Source organism: Homo sapiens, chromosome 2 (assembly GCF_000001405.40).
Source record: "Homo sapiens chromosome 2, GRCh38.p14 Primary Assembly".
In the NCBI taxonomy this organism is placed as follows: Eukaryota; Metazoa; Chordata; class Mammalia; order Primates; family Hominidae; genus Homo; species Homo sapiens.
In genome coordinates, this window is record NC_000002.12 from 63,588,484 (window position 1) to 63,612,167 (window position 23,684).

A 23,684-nucleotide genomic window follows, 5' to 3' on the forward strand; every position below is an offset into this window, starting at 1 on the left:
CCCGCCCCTCCAGAGTGTCAATCGTTTTTTAAAAGATTTTGTTTCCGGGTCGATCCAGCTTTACGCAGCGGAAGGTCTCTTTACCTCCCACGTTTACCCTCATGGGAGGATGCAGTCTCAGTCACGCGCGTGGGGGTGATGTCGCTAAGGGGTGATTCTCCCCTCCCTAGAGTTACACACGCTATCTCTCCCGCCAATTGCCGGGCTCCATCAGGCAGGTCCTTTCCTCCTGAGCCCAAACCATCCGTTTGTTGTCGTCCTCCAATCACAGGGGCTCATCCTCAGGGACTACTTTGCAATCGGCGCAGAGCGCAGTGAGAAGAGCTTGAAAAAAACCTCTGGTATCGGGAAGTGTAGTTCAACACTTGAAGGAAATGCTTTGGAGATTGCGCCACAACCAGGGCAGCGTAAACTACAGTTCCCAGAGAGCGCCGCGTCGGGAGCGGAGCCTTTTCTCGCTAACACCGCTCGCCCTCTCCGAGTCAGTTCCGCGGTAGAGGTGACCTGACTCTCTGAGGCTCATTTTGCAGTTGTTGAAATTGTCCCCGCAGTTTTCAATCATGGTGAGTGTGGGCCCCGGGTTCCTGCCCACCTCTGGCCCTCGCGCCCTTGAGTGGGGTTTCTTGCACTTTAGGGACTTTTGGGAGGCAGCTGTGCAAGGCACTGTCCTTCGCGCCCTTTGGCAAGCTCGGACTCATCTTCTGGGGATTGCCGCAGTGACCCAGTAATGGGAAGGGATTGATTTCCACCTTGCGGGGTATGGGGCGCTCTTAGGAGGACTCTGGAGAAGTAGTTGTCCTGGGAGAGGAGCGATCTTAATCCTGCTGCATGACGGGAGGACAAAATGCGACGCTGCAGCTATTTTCCAAAGGACGTTACGGTGTTTGATAAGGACGATAAGGTTTGCGATGGGAGGGAAAGGTTGGGTCCTAACCCCTTTTTCTCCTCATTTGCCCACAGTGTTTATAACGGCTTTTGTCACAGGGACCTTGAAAGCAAAAAGCTGGAAAGGTAGTATTTACCAGGTGCTCCAGATTACGATCTGCGTTTGCAGCAGACGTGTTTCCGCCATATCTAATTTCTCAAAATGTTATTTGGAACCCGTTCATTGACCTTTTTTGTAATGCCAGGATATATTGAAGTGACAGCATCACTAACTAAATAACTACTGCAAATATTCTTTATTGAACTGTATATTGTGAATTCCAGAAGCACCTCTCTTAAATGTAACAGAGTAACCATTTTGTCATGGAAGACCTGGGTAACCTGCATCTCCATCGCTTGTCTCTGCTGAAAGAGAGGGGGAGGGGGAGAGTTGGTGAAGGAACTCTGGCGTAGGAATAATCTGCGTACTGCTTGAAGGTGACATTTGTCATCAAACTCAGAGAAATCGCTTCATACTATCAATACAATGGCTTGTATTTATAGTTGCGACTGTTTTTCCTACTTTATCTGCAAAATACTAAAACGGCTGGAGAATGTGGAGAAATGTTTGAATGAATTGGAAATTTCCCAGAACCTGAAAAGACACGTTTTCAAGGCAAGGGCATTACTCTCTCTGCCTGTCTAACGGGGCCAGTGGAGACAGCTACTAATTTCCAGTAGGTGTTAAACCTAGGTTTCCTAAATGTTTTGTCACATAATTAGTCATTTAAATTATGGTTTCGGTAGTTTCTGTCCTAATAACCTTAGCTAGAAAGCAGAGGTACTTATTATCTGATAACCTTGGACTTTTTGCTTTTAGAACTGAATGGGATCTTTTAAAGGTCATCTTGACGAATCTCCCCACTTCAGATCTTAAAATGGAGTTTATCGAGACCCAAAGAGAATGTGATTTGCTCCAAGAGTCTCACACTCTTGCCATTTTTCTATATTGTGTCTTACACTTACCAAGTCTTTCTGAATTTTTATTTTTATAGGGACCACCGCAGTGAGGTCTCGCAGCGGGGGAGAGACAGTGTACTCAACTCCCTGAAAACTTATTTTTACTAGCTGAGATTCCGGATGAAGTTACCAGTTCATACTGCATATACAAACTCAAATATGTTATCAGCATGTAGATTACTTGATAGCTTTATTCCTTGCCATTCAAAATACTGGAATTGTAGAATTAAAAGGGAATTTGGAGATTATATTATCTACTCTTATAATGTAGTCTGGTGAGGTCAGATAATTTTCCCAAGGTCACAGAGATTTTGGGCCCCAGATTCTTAGCTAGTTTCCCTAGCAAGGCCCCACCGTTGGAAGGTCACTGGGGTGCCAGATAACACAGAGACAGAACATGAGGAAGAATTTGTCTGGCAGTTTGCTGGAACTGACAGCAAACTCACACATGACTCAATTTCCCTGCCCCCTCAGGAGGGTGTGTGAATGGACAGAGTTAGAAAAGAGCCTTCTTCTGTAAGCTCATTCAAAGCGGAGGATTCTTTGCTTGTTGTCTGTAGGGAGTGACAGCAAAATAAACTGTATGAAGGAATCTAAATGGTACTGCTTAGTTTTTTGTGTTATAGAAATACATGTAATTTAGAAATATATATAAATTTGAAAGTGAAAAAGAAATATGTGGCTCTGTCTGTGGAATAACAGACACTTAAATTCAATCTTTATAGCTGAGAAGTTAGCACAGAGCCTGCATCTGCAGGAAAGTCATTGGTGCCCTGCTAAGAGCAAAGACGTTCCTTTTTTGGACCTTGGCACACTGCCCAGATATCTGAGCAAAGAATAGTAACCTATGTTCACACTATAACATTGTGAAAGTCAGCAGGACTCTCCCACCCTCCTGCTTTTCAACTGCAATGTTGCAGAAGAGCAGAAAGAACCATACATGGACTTTTCTTTCTCTGTTTCATCTTCAGACATTCAAACACTAAGCCTCATACTACCATTAATAAGATGGAATTACCTACCTGGGAAAGTAATTTCCCCAAAGACACAGAAGAAAACTGCTGAGGTGGAATTAACTGTTCATTAGGTGGCCACAACCCCTTCACTAAGGACTGTGATACTGTGAACATGTTTTTAAGTAGCTACTAAAATTGACTGCATTATTCTAACCATATAGGTGACCTTATGGGAAGTTAAACTTAATAGATAGTGATCTTCACTCTCTTCAGCCCCCCTTTTCTTATCCTAGTTTGCTGTTCATTGAAGTAGTATCTGTTCATACTTTATACCCTAACCTTCCTTCATTCAACAAATACTTTTTGTGGAAATGCAAATCCATATCAAAGACAGACTGTTCTCAAGAGCGCTTCATGGCCTAATACAGAGCAACAGAAATGTAAATAGAAAACCACAGGCTATTAAAGTCTTTAGAGGAAAATTCTGTGATGATATTTATAAATACTCACTACGTACTGTTCTTAGTGCTTTGTGTGTTAACTCTTTTAATCCTTAAAACTACTCTGTTTGTTAGGTAATTGCTATTATTATCTCCATTTTACTATGGGGAAATAATACAGAAAGGTTAAGTAACTTGTCCTAGAGCATGCAGTTAATGAGTTGTGGAGCCAGGACTTGAACACAGAAAGTCTGGCTCCAGAGTCCATCTCTTTAATTACTACTCTCTACTGCTTCTCTAGCCCCCTGTTTTAGAAAATTGGTGTATCCTTTTTGTTTCCTTCACGTGATTCACCAATGGATTCCCTGGCCTAAAATAGTACCAAGTACATGATAGGAACTTAATGATGTTTTGTTTAATGAATGAATTAAATGAGAAAACAGTTCATCAGTGGATTTATAAGGTAATATCATTAGTACTAATGACAATTTTGTTAGCTATAGTTGGAACTATTGTGGTCACTAAGTTTCCAGTTTTCTCAATACATAATATATATGAATAAAATACCTTTTGTTTTCATAGTATATATGAAAAAGTTTTTGTTTGAGACAGGATCTCACTCTGTCACCAAGGCTGAAGTGCACTCACACAGTAATGGCTCACTGTAGCCTTAACTTCCAAGGCTCAAGTGATTCTCCTACCTCAGCCTCCTGAGTGGCTGGAACTACAGCATCTGCCACCACACCCAGCTAAATTGTTTTTTTAAGAGACAGGGTTTCACTATGTAGCCCAGGCTGGTCTCGAACTCCTGGGCTCAAGTGATCCACCCGCCTTGTCCCCCCGCGCAATGCGCTGGGATTGTAGGTGTGAGCCACTGCACTCAGCCTGAAATAGCTTAAATAAATAAAATATCTTAAAAAATTTTTTAAAGCACGTTACATATGTTTTCAAACAGTTCTTATACATTTCCATCTTTTTGATAGTTTTACAGGACCCAGCTATTCCTTCAAGCAAATACCAGAGTTCCAACTACAGGACAGGTGTTGTTCTAGGCAATTGAGATACAGCAGTAAATAAAATAGACAAAGTTCCTGTCCTTAAGGATCTCGTATTCTAAAGGGAAAGGGAGTAATAATTTCTTCCTGTATTCCCTTTTCCTCACCTACTCTACTTCAAGGAAAGAAGGGAAAATGACAGAATGAAAAACGTGTAGGCCATTAAAGATTTTTCTATAAATAGTAATAAATTAGAAAAAAAAAATTGTGTAGTATGTAGTTGGCTATGATCAAATTCATTTCTCTACACCAGTTGACACTTTTTGTTTTTTTTGTTTGTTGTTTTTTGTTTTTTTTTTGAGAAGGAGTTTCGCTCTTGTTGCCCAGGCTGGAATACAATGGCACGATCTCCACTCACTCAACCTCTGCCTCCCGGGTTCAAGTGATTCACCTGCCTCAGCCTTCCAAATAGCTGGGAGATGCCTGCCACCACACCCAGCTAATTCTGTATTTTTAGTAGAGACGGGGTTTCTCCATATTGGTCAGGCTGGTCTCAAACTCCCAACCTCAGGTGATCCGCCTGCCTCAGCCTCCCAAAGTGCTGAGATTACAGGCATGAGCCACCATCCCTGGCCTGACACTTCTTTTTTGAAATTTTTTTTTTTCTTTGACTTCTATGAGTGAGTACCAAATTGCTGAGTGCTGCTAACTTTCAGAGCTTAGTGTCAGAAGCTTGAAAGAAGCCTTCGAGGCTATCCATCCTTGTTTCGTCTCAGAGACGTGACTCTCATCTGGAAGAAGGAACTTTAAGTAAAAAGAAACCAAACACTTCTGGGCTTAGTCACATCAGTGGACCATTTCTCCATGCAGGTAGGGGTAAAGGTGACAGTGGAAGTACATTTACCCAGCATTATCGGGGAAAGGAATGGTTCACCTTAACTGAATTTTTCTGTCTAACTAAACCTACCCATTACGTTTCTAAACATTATTGTTTTGTTCTTTTTAATAGATATATTTCTATCTTTTAAAATTCTGTCAGCTTAGTCTTTTTTTACTCAGAGTCATCACTTTGAATATCAGTTATCTTTGTTTCTATGTCTGTATTTTGTTCAGGAACTGTTGAAATCTCTGTTTGTATGTCTTCCCTCCTTGCTTTTAAAAATAATTTTCCCTTGGAATCAGGTTGTCAGCTGTCTGTCACTACATGTTGCTGTTGTTTCTCCCGAAATAAAAAATCTTGTTTTTCCTCCTCCAGACAAAGTTGAAGCACGATTAATTGTCTTATTTAAATGTTTTGGCTCAATGTAAATGGAAAGTTTTAGCCTCTTTCACTCTTCTTCTTGGTATGAAGATTCTATTGAGCAGATGGGAGTGGGGGCTTTGCATAATAAGGATTTGTGTGGCTCTAGTGGCTGCCAGGGTTTGGATCACCACATACTGAACACATCAACATTGTTGAGCCTATTTTAGTGGTAAAATATCCCAAAAAAGGTGGATAAGATTATGTAAGTAAATCCAGGATAACACTTTTAGCTCCCTACATGGTGAGAGTTAAATAACACCACGTAAATATGCAGCACATTCATTTTCTACTGAGCCAGATGCAAAAGGACTTTAAAATTTTACATTCACTTTTAAAGTATGTGGATTTCTTACTATAGATTAAAATCCTGGATATTTTTAAGGTACAGTAGTACTTAAAGATGTTAATGGGTCTTTTTCATTACAGTCTGAACCAATCAGAGTCCTTGTGACTGGAGCAGCTGGTCAAATTGCATATTCACTGCTGTACAGTATTGGAAATGGATCTGTCTTTGGTAAAGATCAGGTAGGAACAGGTGTCTATAAATCTTAAGTTATTAGAGTAAGAATATGGTTAATAAAAATCTGTATTTAGTTGTACACAAATTGTTAAACAGTGAAGGAATATGTAATCCCAGTAAATGTAATAGGCACATTGCTATAAATGGAAGCTACTAAGGTATTTATATGTACGCCTCCAGGCACTGAAAACACTTTGCAAATGAGAACTCTTCCATATATTGTACTCAGTTGACTTGGTGCAACCAGCAGGTGTCAGTCAATGGGAGATATCACTAATGACAGTAACTTACAGTCATGTGGGAGAGAGTTACTCAGTAAGCACTCCCTTGTTCATAAATGGCCTTTGGAACCAAAAGAGTAAGGAAATCTGCTTCCCCGCTGAAGCAGGCACTCCGACTTCCAGCAAGCCTGATTAATATACACTAAAATCCTTTTCTAAGGTATTCATTTATTCAGTTTCTTGACCCATGGATACTGAATTATTCTTTCATGTCAGATACTGTACTTAGCTTTCCATGAACTGAAATCAAATATACAGCTATTAACAATAAGAGCAAGCTATAGCATGTCACTCAGTTTAATGTTTTTTTCATATACTGTTAAAATTGAGTAGTGGTGATTCCTCTCACTGTGTCTGTTAGCAAACCAATGCTGGTTTTATAGCATCCTTCTTTCTGAAAGTGGCATAGTGCTAGATACCTGACCTCCTAAAATAATCATCATGACTAATTAATGGGAATTACATGCATGTACATACCAAATAAAAACTATGTGAAAAGACTTTCTTGTGTCTAAATGAAATAGCCTACACTAACAGATGCTGTCCTTGCTATTTGGTAGCCTATAATTCTTGTGCTGTTGGATATCACCCCCATGATGGGTGTCCTGGACGGTGTCCTAATGGAACTGCAAGACTGTGCCCTTCCCCTCCTGAAAGGTGGGTTGGGGAGTAGAGAAGGGATTTTATGGTATTTGATTTCTTACAAAATACAGGTTTTAGGTTTTTGTTAAAGGCTCTCAATTAGAAATTATTTCATAAGAGGATTTTTTTATTTTGAACTACCACTGTTTATTAACTACTTATGTATACCAAGGATAAATAAGGGTAAGAAATGAGCAACAATCAATGTCAGGTAAAGGACTATCCTTTTTTCCCCAATGTGTGTGTGTATATAATTTATTATACCAGTTAAGTGTAATATTGCACAAGGGTTATACACCTGAAATTGTCTACACACACACACATTATAGACAACGTAGGAATTGTCTACATTGTGTTGTTATGGAGTCTGCTTAACTGGTAATAGTAGCATCCTGTAATGGAAAACTTTCTCAGTTTTGAAGGATGTCCTTCATAGCTATACATTGCTCTGGAAGTTGGTTGGTTCCTCTTACACGGTCCCCATCCCATCTACCAATCATCAGGTTGAGACATAGTGTAAATTGTCCTTACCATATGCTCTATAGTTTGAAAAAACCCAGAAGAGCTCAGCTAAGGGCCTTTGCAAATCATTGAACTATAACACAGATATAATAAGGAAGCCTTAAATTTGATCGAAAAGTTTATTAAAATATTCTAAATTAATTTAAATATTTTTCTTCAGCTATTTCTTCATCATAGTCTTTCTTTTGGTAAGGATTAATTAATGATACTCTCCTAGAAGTTTGCACAAAGCAAAATAATACATACCTTCCAAGAAAAACTTTCCTTAAAATTCTTCATCTGTTGAATAAACATTTGCTAGAAGGGATACTCTGCCATCTAAGTCTTTTGGTTGCAAAGTTCTGTGGAAGAATACATGACTGCCCACACTATTCTGTTGGTTCCCTTTTCTCACCCACAGCTCTTTCCAAATCAGCTTTGCTGCTTTTTCCCATTTGTATTCCTTTCTCTGCTGAGTTCCCTGTGCTTTTTCTCTAAAGGGCCCAGATTGCTGTTGGTTTGTCCTCTGCCAGATATGAATATGACAGGGAAGGGAAAGTTCAGCAAATAAGGACATGTGACTGGGAAAGAGGAAGATAATTTTTTTTTCTCCAACTGGTGTTCCTGTCTATGCCCATTTTCAGACTTATGGCAGCCTTGACTATGATGCAACTAGCCAATTTTCCAGTGAAAATGCTGAATGTTGGTCATAGCTTTTTTAATACAATCAACAAAGAAGTGCGATGACTTATGTTCTTTAGTCAAAAAGCAAGTGATGTTTGCTTATTGTACTAGCACTGGAGCATAGTGGTTGAACTCTGGACCAACCTAGGCTGGAATTACAGCTCCATTATCTTTTGATGGTGGCGAGTTAATCTCTTTAAACCTCAGTGTCTCCATCTATAAAATCAGAAGATTAAATTTGATAGTAATATAAATCTCTTAGCATTATCCTGGCACAAAACTCCTCAATAAACATTTATTATTTTTAAATTTGTGATTGGTGTCTTAGACCTTAAAGTAATTGTAATTTAAAGGTTAGGTGAATTAGTTGCTCTTTTGTGTTGTGTGGTAATTAGTGTGAATAACAAGTGTCACTTCAAAAGTCATCATTATACCTTGCATCATATATGATTATAAAAGATAAAAGCTATGGAGTTTTGACATTTAAGTAATTATTGAAACAGGAAAAGCAAAATAAATCTATTGACATTTCTAATGTTATGATTGTTAAATTAATATATTATCTTTCTCAGGCTCCTGAAATGTATATCAGTGTGATATGTAAACACTTGCAACAAGTGAAAGAATTAATGGGTAGATTCAATATGAAAAAGAAAACTTCAAACTTTGATGTTTAAGTAGCTCTGCGTATTTATTGCCATGTCCACAGATGTCATCGCAACAGATAAAGAAGACGTTGCCTTCAAAGACCTGGATGTGGCCATTCTTGTGGGCTCCATGCCAAGAAGGGAAGGCATGGAGAGAAAAGATTTACTGAAAGCAAATGTGAAAATCTTCAAATCCCAGGGTGCAGCCTTAGATAAATACGCCAAGAAGTCAGTTAAGGTGACCAATGCTGTATTTTATGGGATTTTTCATTATTAGCATTTGAAACTTATGCTTTTAGCATTTAAGCAAAACCAAAATTATTTGCCCTTTTTTCTAGTTCTGTACAATCATCAGTAAATACGGCTCTAGAGTTTTGCTTGATAAGCTCTCCCTTTCTGGGTTTTTTCTTACAGTATAGAAATCTATATTCAGAGTGCTCAAAAATATTTTTCCTATTAGTATAACGTGAAAATTTAGTATTAGTTCTTAAACATATAGAGAAGGCACAGGATCTTCTGGTGCATTTTTGCTGCGTGGGAATATTTATTTAGACATTTAAATTTGTGTGTGATTGTGAAAGGAGATAGCTAGCTGTAAGGTAAGTTTATTCTCAGGAATAGAAGATAGTGGTTTCTGAATGCTCAGATTTTCTTAATGCAGAGGAATTTTAATATGCTTGTCTCTTGAAGAATTGAGTCAGTATGACTTATAGTTCTCTCTTTGTGTTCAAACTATTTACTTTAGATTCTAATATGTCTTAATATTACAGTAAGCCTTTTTTATTTTTTATTAATTTTTTTAATTTTTTTGAGACGGAGTCTTGCTCTGTCACCCAGGCTGGAGTGCAGTGGTGCAATCTTGGCTCACTGCAACCTCTGCCTCCCGGGTTCAAGCGATTCTCCTGTCTCAGCCTCGTGAGTAGATGGGACTACCGTTGCACGCCACCACACCCAGCTAATTTTTGTATTTTTAGTAGAGACGGGATTTCACCATGTTGGCCAGGCTGGTCTCGAACTCCTGACCTCAGGTGATCCACCTGTCTTGGCCTCCCAAAGTGCTGGGATTACAGGTGTGAGCCACCACGCCCAGCCAAACCTTCTTTTATTAGTGAACTATCAATTAACTAGAACTTAATTGTCACCCAGCAAATAGGCTTGCCGGTTAAAGGTTTAACTGATTTCCATATACTTTCCTATCTTTCAAAAAAAGGTGAAAGAAAATTTTTTAAGATTTTTTAAGTTGCCCATTATAATGTTCTATCAATAACATTTCATAGATATCTGCATTTTTTGCTTTCTGTGCACTTCATTTTAAATAGTTAACTTATTTTCTGTCATCACAGAAAATAGTATAAATGAGTTTAATAGAAATCCACAGGTGCCAGTAAAAGATTAGAAGATTGTTCAGACTGCTAAATTGCAGGCTATTTGGAGGTAAAGTACTCCTTGCACAGTAATTCCACTTCTTCAAAGCGTCCTTGTTCGTGAGAAATATTTGCCAGCACTGCACTACTTAGAGACAATGAAGTATCTTGTCTACAGCTTGTCAAAAGAGGTACCAAAAAAAAAAAAAAAAAAGATATATGGGAGTCAGTCTCTGTAATATGGTTGTAACTTTTCTATAAATCTGATATTATTTCAAAATTTTTTATTACCATTTTATAAAAGATTTTTATAACTTAAAATGCATTTTCCTATGCTATATTGTATTTGGTGTTTCCCAAGCCTCCCCTGTACAAAGGCTACCTGTTAGACATTTTCAGTCAAATTTTAACATAGATTAGTTAGTAACTATATAGTCTGTAACTCTTCAGTGCCTTCCATTCCTCCTAGGTTATTGTTGTGGGTAATCCAGCCAATACCAACTGCCTGACTGCTTCCAAGTCAGCTCCATCCATCCCCAAGGAGAACTTCAGTTGCTTGACTCGTTTGGATCACAACCGAGCTAAAGCTCAAGTAAGAAAAATATATTTTAAATCTTGTGGTTGTTCAACTTTAAAACATTTTTCTCTCACTTTTAAAATAACTGAATCTGAGTTTGTGCTTTTTTCTTGTTTTTGTTTAGTAGGAACCTATTACTTTTATTAAATTAAAAGTAAATTATTATTCATTTGTTAGGGAGTCTTTAAATGTATTCTCTTAAAGGACCAGAGGCTGGACTTCCTACTTGATTTCGTCTTTAACTATATTTCAATTGCTAACTATAATGAAATGCAGTTACTAATGTTCTCTTGTTACAGTGGTTAAAAATTAGTTATACATGATGGTACATAATTTAGTTTAATTTTTTCAGATACATATAATCTCATATAAACAAAGACTTGAGCTTTGTGTGATTGTGTGGTTCTGCTTCTATTTTAGCTGCAGCTAAGCCATCAAATTCAGATTTTAATTTTTAATTTTATATTTAATTTTCATTTTATGTCTTTTTAATATTCTATGTGTATCTGTAAAATTTCCTCCTTTCACTACTTAGGAGCTAAAGTCTGTTGCTAATTTTCTTTACTCTTAGAGCCATAGATAAGTATGCCAAGGAGCCAGTGACCAGGGAATTAACAATAGCTTTTCAAAAAATTAGAAGCCAGGCAACTGATCTGAGCTAGTTTCCTAGGCTTTTTCAGATCTAACTGGTCCTGGTGCCCGTTCTTGGACAGAACCTCTTTCCTTTGCCCTAATGCTTTTCTGGCCATCCCTTCTTGTCTGTAGGTCATCACTGCTAGATAGGTCTATGAGTTCAGTGCTTTTTCTTCTAGAGAAGATAACTTTAGTTTCAAAAAAAAATTGTTGTTAACCAGAAGATGCTGTGAGGTCTAAGCTGAAGCACTACTGCCCTAACCTGAGAATTAATAATCCTTCAGCTCTGGAATGCCTAGTGAAAGAGAAAAGAATATACATTTGTTAAGCATCTACTGTAAATTGAATGCTATACATGTAATTTTCCATTTAATTTTTATAGTAACCATATGGGTATCTCATATTATCCCTGCATTAGGTAAGAAAACTGAGGCCCAGGGAAGTCAGAGAACCTGCTCAGAGTCATACAGCTCATAAATTACGGAGCCACCTTGATTTGCCTGACTCCAAACCCTTATGTATGTTCTTACCTAATGGTATCAACTAACCTTAGTCCACTTACTAGCTCTGTGATTTTGAGAAAGTATATTCAATGTTTAAAATGTAATAATTGTATCTACCTCAGAGAGTTCTTATGAGGATTAAATAAGATCTGTTTTAAGCCCTTAGCATGGTGCCTGCACATAGTAAATACAAGAAAGGTTGGCTGCTATTATTAGTTGATTTCTTCTTTCTAAGAAGCATACAGCCTAAACATTCCTAATTTAGAGGGTTGTTGGATAACAACCCTTAAATTTTTAGCTTAAAGTGCAAATATTCCCTGAGAGGCTATAGGCTGTGAGCTGGGTCTGGTGGTAGCTGAGAACGAATAGGAGTTTGTTTGAATGGCAGGCAGTTTGAGTTCTGTGGGACAGTTGTAAAGGAAGAGATATTATACATGTTACAGTTGCAAACTCTGGATTGCCAGAAAGTGACTTATTTAGTTCCTACAACAAGAAAGTTCCTACAACAATGACACTAACAACCACTTTTTGTTGTTTCACCTGAGGCTTTGGTGGAGACAGGCATTGGAAAATTCTGCTTCCAAAGGTACTTCAAAGAGATACTTTGTCCTGGTGCCTGAAACAGTTCTCACTGCAGGGCTCAAGTCTGAATGAGCAAAGAGGAAAGAAAGTGCTATCTCCTCAGACTTTAACCTTCACTTGGGGACATGTTCTTTGTTACTCCTGGGACCTTGGCTAGGCATTGTTTCAGCATGTCAATCTGGCATAGTGAGAGCTTTTAGGGAGTCATTGAAGAAGCACTTTCTTCCTCTAGAAGAAGTTGTTTATCCAGTGAGAAAAATAACAAACCCAAAGATAAGTTTTTCTTACAGGACTGGTTGCTAGATATTTTTGTCTTGGAATTCAGAGGCCTTAGCGACTTAGGGACTGTTTAACACCTGCAGAACTTGCCTGTGTATTTGCAAACCAGTGCTGTATTTATGTCTGCTGATAAGGTAATTTGACATTGATACCAGATAAGGTAATTTGACAATGATACCAGTTAGCTTGTAAGAAAATTACTAGGGCTGGAGAATTAATCAAAAACTTTTAACAGACCTATGTGACAGACATGAGTGTCTAAGGGAGCAAAGAGCTGTTATCCTGGGTATGTATTAATTTAGACTAATTGTGACATGAATCATATTAAGAAACTATATCTGCTGGATGCAAAGTACCTGGCCTTTGCTGTCCAGACAGAACTGGATTAGCTCAAGAGATAGAAGGAGCAAGAGGAGGAGGGCAACAAGAACAAAGGAAGGCATGGGAGCCAAGGAGGACTGAGGGTGGAGAGGCCTAGAGGCATTTTGTCTTCACTGTACTTGGGAGCATTGAAGCAGACATTCAGGGAAGTTATAGGCTCTAACTTCCTGGTAATATATATCTTGAGTTAATTGTTCAAGGTATAAATTTATCTTTTTCTATATACCATACCAGCTAAATTTAAGTATAAATATAAGAGCAGTTTCTTCCCCAGTTCTTTCTGGTCATGGCAGACGTAAAAAATGGTACTCATTGAACAGCGTGCCACTCTACCCTATCCCACAGGCTAAGCAGATCAATAGCTGGGTACCCCAGAAACCCAACTGTGAACTAATTTGTGGAGACTAATGCAAATATTGTAGATAATAGTCCTAATACTTGCAAGACTTGCAGGGATTAGATCGGTCAAAAGTGATTTACAATATCACAAACATAAATTTTTAAGTAAACTTTTAACTATTTTAGGATTTAAGAAAGCAGTCTCAACTAGTTTAAGAGTGGGAGTGAAAGTAAAGACAGTTTACTTCTTACTTAACTGAATAAATTAGTATGAAGACCAGTCGAGTCATTGCAGACATTTTAGGTAATGGCCTTTTTTTTCATCTTTATCCTTTTCGGTTGGTTGGTTGGGGTTTTTTTTTTTTTTTTTTTTTGCTTTTTATTTTGAAATAATTTTAGACTCAAAAGTCGCAAAAAAATAGTACAGAGAAGGCCCATGTACCCATCACCCATTGATGGTACCTTACATAACTACAGAGTATTATCAAAACCAGGAAGTTGATGAACTACACAATACTATTAACTAGACTTACTGAAGTTTCACCAGTTTTATATTCACTTATTTTTTTCTGTGTCTTTATGAATGATTCTATGACATTTAATTACAAGTGTAGATTCCTGTAACTGCCCCCATAGTCAAGGTACAGAATTTCTTCATCACTCACAAAAGAACTCCTTCATACTCTCCCTTATGGTCACACCACCCTCTGTCCCTGACATCATTTTTCTGCACTCCACCTCTATAATTTTGTCATTTTGAGAATTTACAAAAGTGGAATCATGCAGTAAGGAACCTTTTGAGACTGGCTCTTTTTCACTCAGTTTAATGCCTTTAAGATCCATCCAGGTTGTTGTTTGTTTCTTTTTGTTGTTTTTCCACTTACCCCTTTTATTTATTCCATTGCCTATGTAAGACATAATACAGTTTATTTAACCGTTCTTTTTTTTTTTTTTTTTTTTTTTTTTTTTTTTTTTTTTTTTTTGAGACAGAGTCTCGCCCTGTCGCCTAGGCTGGAGTGCAATGGCACGATCTCGGCTCACTGCAACCTCCGCCTCCCAGGTTCAAGAGATTCTCCTGCCTCAGCCTCCTGAGTAGCTGGGATTACAGGCACACGCTGCCACACCCAGCTAATTTTTGTATTTTTAGTAGAGACGGGGCTTCACCGTGTTGGCCATGATGGTCTCCATCTCGACCTCCTGATCCTCCCACCTCGGCCTCCCAAAGTGCTGGGATTATAGGTGTGAGCCACCGCGCCTGGCATATTTAACCATTCTTGAACGACATTTGAGTTGTTTCAGTTTGGAGCTGTTATTACCCTTATTTTAAAATTTTCCTTAAAATATCAAAGTGTATTCCTTTTCTTACATGGTAAATACTCAAATGCTTTATTTATGTGTGCTAAAGCTACAGACTCTGGCACAACTAGTTTCTTCTCCCATTCTTTTTGGGACACAGAGGAAGGAAGAATTGCCCACAATGTCACCAAAACAGATCAGCTTCTTAAAATATTTTTCCACATTCCCTTCTGGTTCATCATAAATTCTGTTGTCTAGTTAGGAACAAATTATACATATACCTGATCATAATTTATTTTCTGCACATAAACTTATCAGACAAATAACAAGCAGGCTGATTTTATTTAAATCTACCAAGACATTTCTTTTTTTTTTTTTTTTTTTTTTGAGACAGTCTCGCTGCATCGCCCATGCTGGAGTGCAGTGGTGCGATCTTGGCTCACCGCAACCTCCGCCTCCCAGGTTCAAGCGATTCTCCTGCCTCAGCCTCCCAAGTAGCTGGGATTACAGACATGTGCCACCAAGCCCGGCTAACTTTGTATTTTTAGTAGAGACAGGGTTTCTCCATGTTGGTCAGGCTGGTCTCGAACTGTCAACCTCAGGTGATCTGCCCGCCTTGGCCTCCCAAAGTGCTGGGATTACAGGCGTAAGCCACCATGCCCAGCCCAAGACATAACTTTCTAACCTTTTTTGTGGCTACTGTACTACATGTGATTGCAAGGCATTGCAGGACCCTAAAGTGCTTTCTGGAGTTATAGCTAGAGATTGTTACATATGTTATAATTTTAGAGTGTATATATGTGTGTACACACACACACATACACATATATAAAACCTCTTTCCTTCAGTTTCCTGATATATAAAATGAGGACAGTCATATCTTGGTAATTTGAGTCCTATCCAACTCTAAAATTTCATATTTAGGGTTATTTGAAAATTAATTTCTATATGGTATATAATAAAAATTTTACCTAAATATAAAGTGCCTAAATACCTGATTACTCAGAAGCACTGAGAAGACATCTCCAAGTAAACATTAACAGTGAAACAAAAGATCACATTTACATATTCAAGAAATAGTAAATTGATAAATAATAGTAACGATTAATGTTTTATGTTTGATACACCTACTGTACTAATAAGTTAACCACAAACTATGGGATGCTTCATACCCTTAAACATTCTACTCCATAAGGTTTCAAGTCCACAGTTGTTACCACTGTTAAGCTGTTGTAGGAAATTGCCAAGCAATAAATTTACATTTTTTACAAGTCAATATAACTCTTGTGTTCTCTTGAAATTTCAGAAGCTTTTTATCTTTATTTAAGGGCATTTGTCAAAACAGGTCCCAATTGGAAATAAAAACCATTTGTCTCAGTAATGTATTTGTTTTCAATTTAACTAGATTGCTCTTAAACTTGGTGTGACTGCTAATGATGTAAAGAATGTCATTATCTGGGGAAACCATTCCTCGACTCAGTATCCAGATGTCAACCATGCCAAGGTGAAATTGCAAGGAAAGGAAGTTGGTGTTTATGAAGCTCTGAAAGATGACAGCTGGCTCAAGGGAGAATTTGTCACGGTAAGAAAAATCTGTGAGCCTTCTTAACACTGAGCGTAAAGAACTCTTGAGAGACTCTTAGGACAGAAAACCTTAAAGAGGGCAGGTCTTTCACAGTTGCTCTGATGACTGCATACTTTCGGGATCATAGTAAGCCAGTCATGATCTAGTGTGATCTGATGTGACAGCAGTTGAGATTTATACCAAGATCCATGTCTTTGTCTGACCTATGATAAACTTTGTATGGAGATACATAGTTTCCTTTTTCCAGAAGGATTGGTAAGGCTGACATTGGGTTGTTGCATGATTTTGGAGGGGAAACATTAAGCTCTGGTCATAGCTTTTCACCCCAAGGTCGACTTGGAATTAATGAAAACTTTGCTATCATGACCAAGTAATACTGCTGCCTTCACCTGCCCCCTTCCCAGACTGTGCAGCAGCGTGGCGCTGCTGTCATCAAGGCTCGAAAACTATCCAGTGCCATGTCTGCTGCAAAAGCCATCTGTGACCACGTCAGGGACATCTGGTTTGGAACCCCAGAGGTAAGGATTTAGTGATTTGCACAGGTCACTCTATTTTATTTTTGTTGCCTGATGATATAATATAAAAAGAATATAGCCTTAGCAGTCAGTCAGGTTAGGTTCATTTCTCAGCTCAGCTGCCTATTAACAAGTAAACTTCGGGGTTTGTTAGCCTTGACCTTTCTGAGCTGTTTTGTCATCTTTTACATGACATTACTATTATACACAGGGTTGTGAGGGTTAAAGGAGATTGCACATGGAAAACACCTGGCACAATGCCTGATACATAGTAGGGGTGAATTTTTTTCTTCTATGCCACAGCTTCCTCATCTGTAAAATGAGGATTAGGTTTCCCTGGCCTACTTCACATATGATATGGAAGCGTGGAATGAAATAATATCCATGAAAGTTACCTTGTCACCAGTACCTGGTGCTGATGATAGTTCCTTACACAGTAATGATGTTATGAACATAGTAAGAAAGGGTCACCTGGTTTAATTTTATTAGTTCATGTGTCAGTTGTGTAAACTAATCATCATGAGTATGTGAAACATTGTTATTTTCAGGGAGAGTTTGTGTCCATGGGTGTTATCTCTGATGGCAACTCCTATGGTGTTCCTGATGATCTGCTCTACTCATTCCCTGTTGTAATCAAGGTAAGGTATTTTGGAGCTATTTCCCTTCTTTGAGGAAGTAGTTATATGTTTCTCTTAAGAATGGTATTATTGGCCAGGCACAGTGGCTCACGCCTATAATCCCAACACTTTGGAAGGGCAAGGTGGCAAGATTGCTTGAGCCCAGGAGTTCAAGACCAGCCGGGGCAACATAGTGAGACCCCCTCTCTGCAAAAATAAAATAATTAGCCGGGCATGGTGGCACACATCTGTGGTCCTAGGTTCTTGAGAGGCTGAGGTAGGAGGATCACTTGAGCTTAGGAGATCAAGGCTGCAGTGAACCATGACAGTACCCCTCCACCAGGCAACAGAACGGGACCCTGTCCCCCAAAAAAGAAAACAGAATGTTATCACTTAATCTAGAAAATTGTTCCTTTACTAAAATAGACATTTTTCTCAGCTTTAAAACTATATGTATTTCAGCTTCAGGTCATTGAAAGTTTTTATGATTGAAATTAATCTGGAAAGGAAGATTCAGCTCTTCCCACTAGACACTATGTTATTATGCCTCTAGTATTAGAGACCTACAAATAGTATATTTCTAAATGAAGCAATGGTTTTCAGTGTTGTTGTTCTTTATTATAACTGTGCTAAAGTCAGTCATTTTTGAAGTTTTTTTTTTTTAGATTCAAGGGGTTTAAAATTCAAGTGTTGAGTTTTTATTAGAATTATCTATTAATTAAAATCTGGATTTTTATTTACTTTAGAATCAGACTTTAAAACGATATACCTCTAAATATAAGTTCAAACAAGGTTGTTGCTTACTGAAAGATCAGTTCCAGTTTAAATCTCTTATTTGCATTATTTTCAAACAGAATAAGACCTGGAAGTTTGTTGAAGGTCTCCCTATTAATGATTTCTCACGTGAGAAGATGGATCTTACTGCAAAGGAACTGACAGAAGAAAAAGAAAGTGCTTTTGAATTTCTTTCCTCTGCCTGACTAGACAATGATGTTACTAAATGCTTCAAAGCTGAAGAATCTAAATGTCGTCTTTGACTCAAGTACCAAATAATAATAATGCTATACTTAAATTACTTGTGAAAAACAACACATTTTAAAGATTACGTGCTTCTTGGTACAGGTTTGTGAATGACAGTTTATCGTCATGCTGTTAGTGTGCATTCTAAATAAATATATATTCAAATGAAAGTGACTCAGACTCTGTTTCTAGCTAATATTTAGTGTCTATTCAGGAAGCAAACTTGCGGACAGGCGCAGTGACTGACACCTGTAATCCCAGCACTTTGGGAAGCTTGAGATGGGTGGATCACCTGAGGTCCGGAGTTTGAGACCAGCCTGGGCAAATAGTGACACCCCATCTCTACTAAAAATACAAAAATTAGCCAGGCGTGGTGGCACAGGTCTGAAATCCCAGCTACTTGGGAGGATGAGGTAGGAGAATAGGTTGTCCCGGGGGGCGGAAGTTGCAGTGAGCCAAGATTGCGCCACTGCACTCCAGCCTGGGCTACGAGGGAAACTCCGTCTCAAAAAAAAGAAGAGGACTGGGCGCGGTGGCTCCCGCCTGTAATCCCAGCACTTTGGGAGGCAGAGGCGGGCGGATCACTACGTCAGGAGATCGAGACCATCCTGGCTGACGCGGTGAAACCCCATCTCTACTAAAAATGCAAAAAATTAGCCAGGCGTGGTGGCGGGCACCTGTAGTCCCAGCTACTCGGGAGGCTGAGGCAGGAGAATGGCGTGAACCCGGGAGGCGGAGCTTGCTGTGAGCAGATGGCGCCACTGCACTCCAGCCTGGGCACAGAGCGAGACTCCGTCTCAAAAAAAAAAAAAAAAGAAGAAAAGAAAACAAACTCGAATGTTTCCCAGGTTGCCTAAATAATTTTGAGATAGATATATATACATTTTTTTAACCAGGGGAAGGCAGTAAGGCTAGAAAGATAAAGCATAAATCTCGTATTTAAATAGAATATAGAAACCCACCTTGTGATAATGAATCAGTCTATTTCAGCATATATTTGTAAACATTACCTACGTTGAACAAATACCATATTTTTAAAATCTTAAAGGTTTACGCTTTGTAGATAATTTGATTTTAAGGCTAGCTACTAATATTAAATAAGTTGCAGATAATATTGTTAACAGTGTTATGCCATTGGATGAAATTAGAATATTTTCATTATATTAAAAAAATGGTAATAGGTTTTCACTGGAGGTATTACTTTTTAGCAGATAAGGAATCATTTATATTTCAAAACCACTAAATACCACAGAAGTTTATGCTAGTGTTAGGAGTAACACTAGCATAGTGTTATGATGTTAGAAGTAAGTAATAAACTAAGCTTATTACTAGAAAAATAGTGGAGTTTTTTTAATAGTCTTGTTTTTTCCCCAAACCTATGATGGCAGAAGGCATTTTCTATCTTTTCATCCTCATGCTTAACACACTGTCCACATGTAATAGGCAATATTGTATTAATAAATATCTCCAGGCCTAACATAGTACTCTTCATGGATGCTCAAATATTTGTTGGTTGGACTTATTTAAAATTACTACTTTGGGAGGCCAGGGCAGGAGGATTGATTGAAGCCAGGAGTTCAAGGCTAGCCTGGGCAACAAAACAAGACCCCATCTCTACAAAAAAATTTAAAAATTAGCTGAGTGCAGTGGTGGATTCCTGTAATCCCAGCTACTCCGGAAAGTAAGGCAAGAGGATCACCTAGGCAAAGGAATTCAAGGCTGCAGTGAGCTAGGATCACGCCACTGCACTCCAGCCTAGGCAACAGAGCGAGACCATCTCCTTTTTAAAAAATTAAAAATTACCTAGATCATTTTATGATGTAGAAAAGAAAAAGCAAGTTGAGTAAAACTACCTTTAGGACTACTATTAATCGGAAGCATAAAAACAAAATTTCATATAGAATGAACAAAATTTTGTATAAAGTAAGTATGAATTGTACCAGTTGTTATTTTCTTTCAGTTCCAAACACTCCCTTCTATATTCTCGTGACATTAGGACTGGAATTTGGCAAGCCACATTTCTTTACCAGCTGCTCCTTGTTAAAAATGTGCTAATGGGCCAGGCGCGGTGGCTCATGCTTGTAATCCCAGTACTTTGGGAGGCCGAGGCGGGCAGATCATTTGAGGTCAGGAGTTCAAGACTAGCCTGGCCAACATGGTGAAACCCTGTCACTACTAAAAATACAAAAATTAGTCGGGCATGGTGGCGCATGCCTGTAATCCCAGCTACTCAGGAGGCTGAGGCAGGAGAATCACCTGAACCTGGGAGGTTGCAGTGAGCCGAGATCATGCCACTGCACTCCAGCCTGGGTGACAGCAAGACTCCATTTCAAAACAAAACAACAACAACAAAATATATATATATACACACACTAATAAAGGGTACTAGAGGGGGACTGGATGGCAGAAGAGAAAGAAAACATGCTCTTACTCCTTCCTGTTGGTTTCCTCTATCATTACCTTCTATCCACTTTATATAAGCCAGAAAAGAAAAAAACAAATGAATCAAACATATCTTTAGAAGAGCAATTAGTTGGAAGCATGAAAACTAATTTCATGTAGAATTAAAAAGAAAATCTTGGCTGGGTGCAGTGACTCATGCGTGTAATCCCAACACTTTGGGAAGCTAAGGTGGGAGGATTGCAGACCAGCCTGAGCAATGTAGTGAGACCCCATCTCTACTAAAAATAAAAAATTAGCCAGGCATGGTGGTGCACACCTGTAGTCCCAACTACTCGGGAGTCCGAGGTGGGAGGGTCGCTTGAACCCGGGAGGTCAAGGTTGCAGTGAGCCATGATCATGCCACTGCACTTTAGTCTGGGTGACAGAGCAAGATTGTCTTTTTAAAAAACAAAAGAAAATGTTATATGAAGAAAGTATGTATATATGAAAGTTATTGGAGAGATCTAGATTACTTGTAGAAACAAGTAATTTTTCACCAACTTTGCCTTTGAAGCATGGGTTTCGGTTTGAATATTCACACTGTGAAACTGATTATCTCTTTATGCCATTTTTTTAATGCTCTTCACTTCCATCACCTTTACCAAGAGAACAAAGCATTTTGTTGCTCCTTCTCTTAATGGAGTCCAGGCCCAGGAAGTTGTGTCTTCAAGCAGCATGATAATATGTGAAAAGCCTATGCCTTTCCTAAGCATTTTTACTAGTACTTGAGGAAATGATACATGGATGCATTACAGGGCAAAAGACATTACATTTTAAGCCAATAAAGTTAGATTAAGAAGCTTTCCAAAAGAGGTACAATCTGTATAAACCTAAACCTTAAGGGAATATTGACCTCTGCAGATCATGACCCTGGTAATGTTTCCTGAACAACAAGTGGATAGCCAGTGCAGCTTTATTTAATTCTAATAAAACATAAAGAAGGAGTGGGGGAAAAACCCTATAATTCCACTGCCAGTTAAATCATAATTTAAATAAAAGTTATATATACATTAGAAAATCAATGAAATGGTGTTAAATGAAAACCAAATTTTTGTTTATCCTTACAGGGAAAAAAATACACATATTTATTTTGAGAATTAAAAAAAAAAAAGGAATACATAGTGAAAAGAAGTGTTCTTTGCTCACCTGACTCCCACCCATTTAAGCCTTGTTTTTGTCCCATGGCCTATAGCTCAGAAACATTCAATGCATAACCAAAGTATGTATGTAAATATATGTGTGTGCATGTAACCATCCCCTTTTGTACATAAATTATAACACACTGTTCTGCACTCTGTGTTTTTCCTTTAGTAATACATCTTAAAGCTATATAGATACTTAGCGTCAGGCACAGTGGCTCATGCCTGTAATCTCAGCACTTTGGGGGACCCAGGCAGGCAGATCGCTTTGAGCTCAGGAGTTCGAGACCAACCTGGGCAACATGGCAAGACCCCGTCTTACAAAAATAAAATAAAACAATTAGCCCAGTTTGCTGGCTCACACCTGTGGTTCCAGCTACTTGGGAGGCTGAGGTGGGAGGATTACTTGAGCCCCAGAAGCAGAGGTTGCAAAGAACTGAGATCATGCCACAGCACTCCAGCTTAGGTGACAGTGCAAGACCCTGTCTCAAAAAAAACCATAAAAGCTATATAGATACCTGCAGAGCCACCCCATTCATTTTTAAAGTTATGTAGTACTCTGTTGAATGGATATACCAAACTTTATTTAGCCAGTCTCCTATTGATGGACTTTTAGATTCTTTTCAATCTTTTACTACTATAAAGATGCTGGACTATTTTTGTAAGTTGGTTATTTCATACATGTACAAGTGTATCTGCAGGATAAATTCCTAAAACACAGCAGATTTTTTTTAATACTGTTGAATCTAGTTTGTTATGAAAGCAGCAGCCTTCTGGATTTGATATTATATGTACATTTAATACCATTTTAACTGTCCTTTCTAACCCCCCACTTTTTTTTAACAATACCTTGATTAAACCAGCCACAATATTTCTCAAGAAATGTTGACCAGGGGAAAAATATATTAGAAAGTACCTTTTTGGTATGTAAGCTTAAGAATTTGACTATGAAAAACAAAAAGCAACAAAAATAAGTTCCTAGTTGTCCTTGTGAAATTGGTATGAGAACTCATCATCTTTATGATCTTGATGGCTTTAAACAAACCTCAAAACAAGAAACATATCTGTTTTGATTTCTGAATATTGGTGGGTTCTTAGACAAACTAAAATGGTTACTGACTCAGTAGAAATATATACGCTTTCATTCCAGTAGTGTCACCTAATTGGTATCATCCAGCACAATATAGTGACAGTTCAATACACATTGTTGAATAAATGGGTTCTTGTCAATTTGCCCTCTAACTCTGCTGGGAATAGACTCGTATTCTAAATCAAACTCATAGCCTGACCTGGGTAGCACAATTGAGTAAAGCACTTTTAAGCAGAATAGACATCTTTAAAACCATCCAGTTTTCTCATGTCCTTACCACCATCACCCTGGTCCAAGCCATCATTATTTCTTCATAAAAGACTTCTGCAATAACAATGGAAATGGGAGCTCAGTTTGGAGTCTATGCCTCCCCTCTCTCCCTAGTCCAATCCAGACTTGCTCTAGAGTTACTGATTAACAACGACATTTTACTTCACGTTTTTTGAAGAATAGACCAACTCATGGGCTT

The 23,684-nt window shown here is 38.4% G+C and overlaps 2 protein-coding genes across 9 annotated transcripts in view, besides 1 other annotated feature; one reads left to right on the plus strand and one right to left on the minus strand.

The window, feature by feature from the left end:
* Positions 1-23,684, minus strand: part of WDPCP (WD repeat containing planar cell polarity effector) — a 721,268-nt gene that overhangs the window by 468,925 nt on the left and 228,659 nt on the right. The window lies entirely within an intron of this gene.
* Positions 191-510: an enhancer, noted in NCBI's record as "active region_15877". NCBI's record gives its function as "activates an Ori minimal core promoter by ATAC-STARR-seq in GM12878 lymphoblastoid cells {active_cell/tissue: GM12878}" and the evidence as "EXISTENCE:reporter gene assay evidence [ECO:0000049][PMID:35858748]".
* On the plus strand, positions 480-18,714 carry MDH1 (malate dehydrogenase 1). 4 transcript variants are annotated; one of them, NM_005917.4, is made up of 9 exons: positions 480-563; positions 6,005-6,103; positions 6,940-7,036; positions 8,916-9,091; positions 10,687-10,809; positions 16,213-16,389; positions 16,797-16,910; positions 17,456-17,545; positions 18,379-18,714. In NM_005917.4, the coding sequence occupies exons 1-9, from the start codon at positions 561-563 to the stop codon at positions 18,502-18,504; spliced, it is 1,005 nt and encodes a 334-aa protein (NP_005908.1). In that variant the 5' UTR covers positions 480-560; the 3' UTR covers positions 18,505-18,714. The 4 variants fall into 3 exon arrangements, with proteins under 4 accessions (NP_005908.1, NP_001303303.1, NP_001186040.1 ...); NM_001199111.2 differs by lacking the exon at positions 480-563 and adding an exon at positions 663-901; NM_001199112.2 differs by lacking the exons at positions 480-563; positions 6,940-7,036 and adding an exon at positions 663-901.

Coding starts and splice junctions, on each gene's coding strand:
- MDH1 (NM_001199111.2), top strand. CDS start 845: ATGCGACGCTGCAGCTATTTTCCAAAGGACGTTACGGTGTTTGATAAG. Junction 10,810..16,212: donor ACAACCGAGCTAAAGCTCAA/GTAAGAAAAATA, acceptor CAATTTAACTAG/ATTGCTCTTAAACTTGGTGT. Junction 17,546..18,378: donor CATTCCCTGTTGTAATCAAG/GTAAGGTATTTT, acceptor ATTTTCAAACAG/AATAAGACCTGGAAGTTTGT.